This window comes from Homo sapiens, chromosome X (assembly GCF_000001405.40).
Source record: "Homo sapiens chromosome X, GRCh38.p14 Primary Assembly".
In the NCBI taxonomy this organism is placed as follows: Eukaryota; Metazoa; Chordata; class Mammalia; order Primates; family Hominidae; genus Homo; species Homo sapiens.
In genome coordinates, this window is record NC_000023.11 from 45640752 (window position 1) to 45644392 (window position 3641).

Here is a 3641-nt window from a genome sequence, read left to right on the forward strand (position 1 = left end):
TTTTTGGCTATTATGAATTAAGCTCCTATAAATATTCATGTACAGGTTTTTGTGTGAACATAGTTTTCAACTCACTTGGCTAAATACCTAAGAGTGGAATTACTCTTTCTAGCAGTAAGTTTATGTTTAATGTTTTAACAAAGTGCCAAACTGTTTTCCAAAATTGCTACACTATTTTGCATTCTCACCAGCAATGAATGAGTTTTAAGGTGGCTCTGCATCCTCATCAGCATTTGGTATTGCCACTTATTTACTTTAGACAATCTTATAGGTGTACAGTGGTATTCCATTGTCATTTTAATTTTCATTTTCCTAATGACTAATATTGTTGAGCATCTTTCCATGTTTTTATTTGCTATCCACATATTTTCTTTAGTGAAGTGTCTGATCAAATCTTTTGCCCCTTCTTTTTTTCTTTTGAGATGGAGTCTCACTCTGGCGCCCAGGCTGGAGTGCAGTGTCATGATCTCGGCTCACTGCGGCCTCTGCCTCCCAGGCTCCAGTGATCCTCCTGCCTCAGCCTCCCGGGTAGCTGGGATTACAGGCATGTGCCACCACGCCTGGCTAATTTTTGTATTTTTAGTAGAGATGGGTTTCACCGTGTTGGCCAGGCTGGTCTTGAACTCCTGACCTCAGGTGATCCACCCTCCTTGGCCTCCCATAGTGCTAAGATTACAGGCATGAACCACCGTGCCAGGCCCTTTTGTCCATTTTTAAAAAATTCAGTTGTTTGTTTGCTTATGGTCAAATTTTAAGTGTTTTAAGTATATTACAGGTAAAATTTCTTTATCAGATATGTGATTTGCAAATATTTTTCCTTTCTGTGGCTTTTCTTTTCATTCTCTTAACTATGTTTTTCACAGAGCAAATGTTTTTAATTTTGGAAAGGTCTAATTTATCAATTTTTTATTTTATGGGTCATGCTTTTGATAGTATATCTAAAAACTCATTGCCAAACCTAATGTCATGCATATTTTCTTTGATGTTTTCTTCTAAATGTGTTATAGTTTTATGCTTTACATTTAAGTCTATTATTCATCTTGAATACATTTTGTATAACGGCAATTTATTCTTGAGTACTAATTTTAGATTTTGGCATCTTGCTAAATTATTTATAAATTCTAATAAATTAGGTTTTCAATAAAGACAATAATCTCGTCTCAGAGAAATAATGGTTTTCTTTTTTTTCTATTTGAGTCTTTACATATTTAATTCCTTTTTTTACTGTGCTGGTTGGAATAATTCTAAATATAGAAGTGGTGATAACAGAGGCCTTTATCTTGTTCCTACTGTTTAAGAATATGCTTTCAACATTTTTACATTAAGCATAAAGTTTGCTCTCAGTTTTCTTTAATGCCCTTTATGGGATTAGTGGCCTTATCTTATGTTTCTACTTTAATAATGTTTTATATCAGGAATGGTTTTTGAATTACATTAAACAATTTTTCACATATATTCAGAGGATTAAAAAACTTTTTATTTAATCTGTTAATATGAACATTTTGTTAGATTTAAACCAACTTTACAGTGCTGGAATAAGCCAACTTTGCTCATGCTGTATAATCTTTATTACATATTATAGTGTTCTATTTAATAATGTTTTGTTTATGATTTTGTATCTGTATTAATCAATGAGATAGCACTATAACTCTCCTTTCTCATTTATCAGGGTAAGGTTTTGATATCAAGCTTATACTAGTCTCATAAAAAAATTGGAAAATTTCCCTCGGAACTGGTTATATAAGTGTATTTGTTATTTGTAGTTTATTGAAATTACCCATAAAACTGTGTTGTCCTTGTGTCTTCTTTGTGAGAAGAGTTTTGTAACTACAAATTTAGGCATTTTATGTCTTGAGTCAATTTTAGTGATTATATCTTCTGCTGTGGTTTAAATGTGTCCCCCAAAAAGCATGTGTCAGAAACTTACTCACCAATGCAACAGTGTTGGGGGGTAAGAACTTAAGAGATGATTAGGTCATGAGGGCTCCACCCTCATGAATGGGTTAATGTCACTATAAAGAGGGCTTGAGGTTGCGAGTTCCACCTCTTGCTCTTTCTCACTTCTCACTGCCCTTCCTCCCTGGGATGATGTGACAAGAAGGCCCTTGCCAGATGTCTGCCCCTCAGTCTTGGACTTCCTAGCCTTCAGAGCTGTGAGACAATAAATTTCTGTTCATCATAAATTACTCAGTCTTGGGTATCCTGTTATCACAGCACAAAATGAACTAAGACAACTTTCTAGGAATGTCAATATTTTACCTAAATTTTGAAATGTATTGCCAAGTTTTTCAAAACATCATTTTATAATTTTCCTAATATCTGCATTCTTTATCATCCTTTTTTTGTATCTTTGGTTTTTGATCACCAATCTTGCCAAACATTTTTATATATATTAATCTTGAGAGAAATATAGACTTAGATATTTAACTGAATAACTAAAAAGAAGAAGAAAAGAACATAATTAAAGAGATAAGCATTCAAGAGTCTAGATTTGATGGACCTTAAGTATCTATCTACCCTCCCTTGAAATTCCTTTCATTCAGGGGACTCCAAAATATTCCCTTTTCACTGGCCATACAGGGTAGGCTAAGTAGATGGCACAGAGACAGATTTTTTAAAAGTGCTTTTGTTCATGTTATCCTGGATAAGAATCAAAAAAGAAAAACGTGAATAGTATCATCTTGAAAATTATTTTCTCTGGTTTCCACAAATTCTTGGTCCATGGTCTCGGCTGAAGTGGCTTGAATGGCTGAGGAAGGGTGGCATGGCTGTTCCGGGGCCATAATTCTGGGAATGTAGCTCTAATTATTGGTTGGACTAATTGATTCTTCTTCACATCACTTCGGCTGGAGTTAGAATGTCTAAGATGATTTCATTACTTACATGTCTGGTGTCAGTGCTTGGATAGCTAGAACAGCTGGATTTCTCTAGGTATCTCTGTCTCTGCATGCAGCCTGTCCCCATGACTAGCTTAGGCTCCGTCACAGTAAGCCATTATTTGAAGTAGTTTGAGGAACGTAACATGTTTCTTCTTGGAGAATCAAAATGCACATGAATACATAAAAGGCACTGAGATGTCTATTTAACTTTCCCAAACATGTTTGACTAAGAAATTCCTTTTTAAATGTAAGACTCATTAACATCAATTCATAGAATATGCTTCCACAGATGTTGTAGTTAACAATGCAAAGAAGACATTATAAAGTGTAATATTACAGGCAGAATCTCATTTTAAGGAGTACCATCAAACTGTTAAAATTACATAACAAGGCTACTTTCATGATTTGACTGACCACCTAATTCGAAACTGCTTTGATGATATATATACAATAAGTTTTCATGGAAGAGAAATCTTGTGTTACCAGAGTCCCTAAGTCCTTGCCCACCTATTAGTGAAAATAATGTTAAATATAATTTCTGCTTTTTAAAAGGATTTGGGTGTTTATATTTTTAACACCTATACAATGCTAAATTTTATTAATAAAATACTTCACATATTAAATTTATTATATTGAAGAGAATTTTACACTGAAGGGAATTTTTACACCTGTATATATTTATATATGTTAAATAGATATTGTCTATATTGAGATAATCTCAAGTACATTTAGATAATCTTAGCCTATCCCTTTGGCACTTTC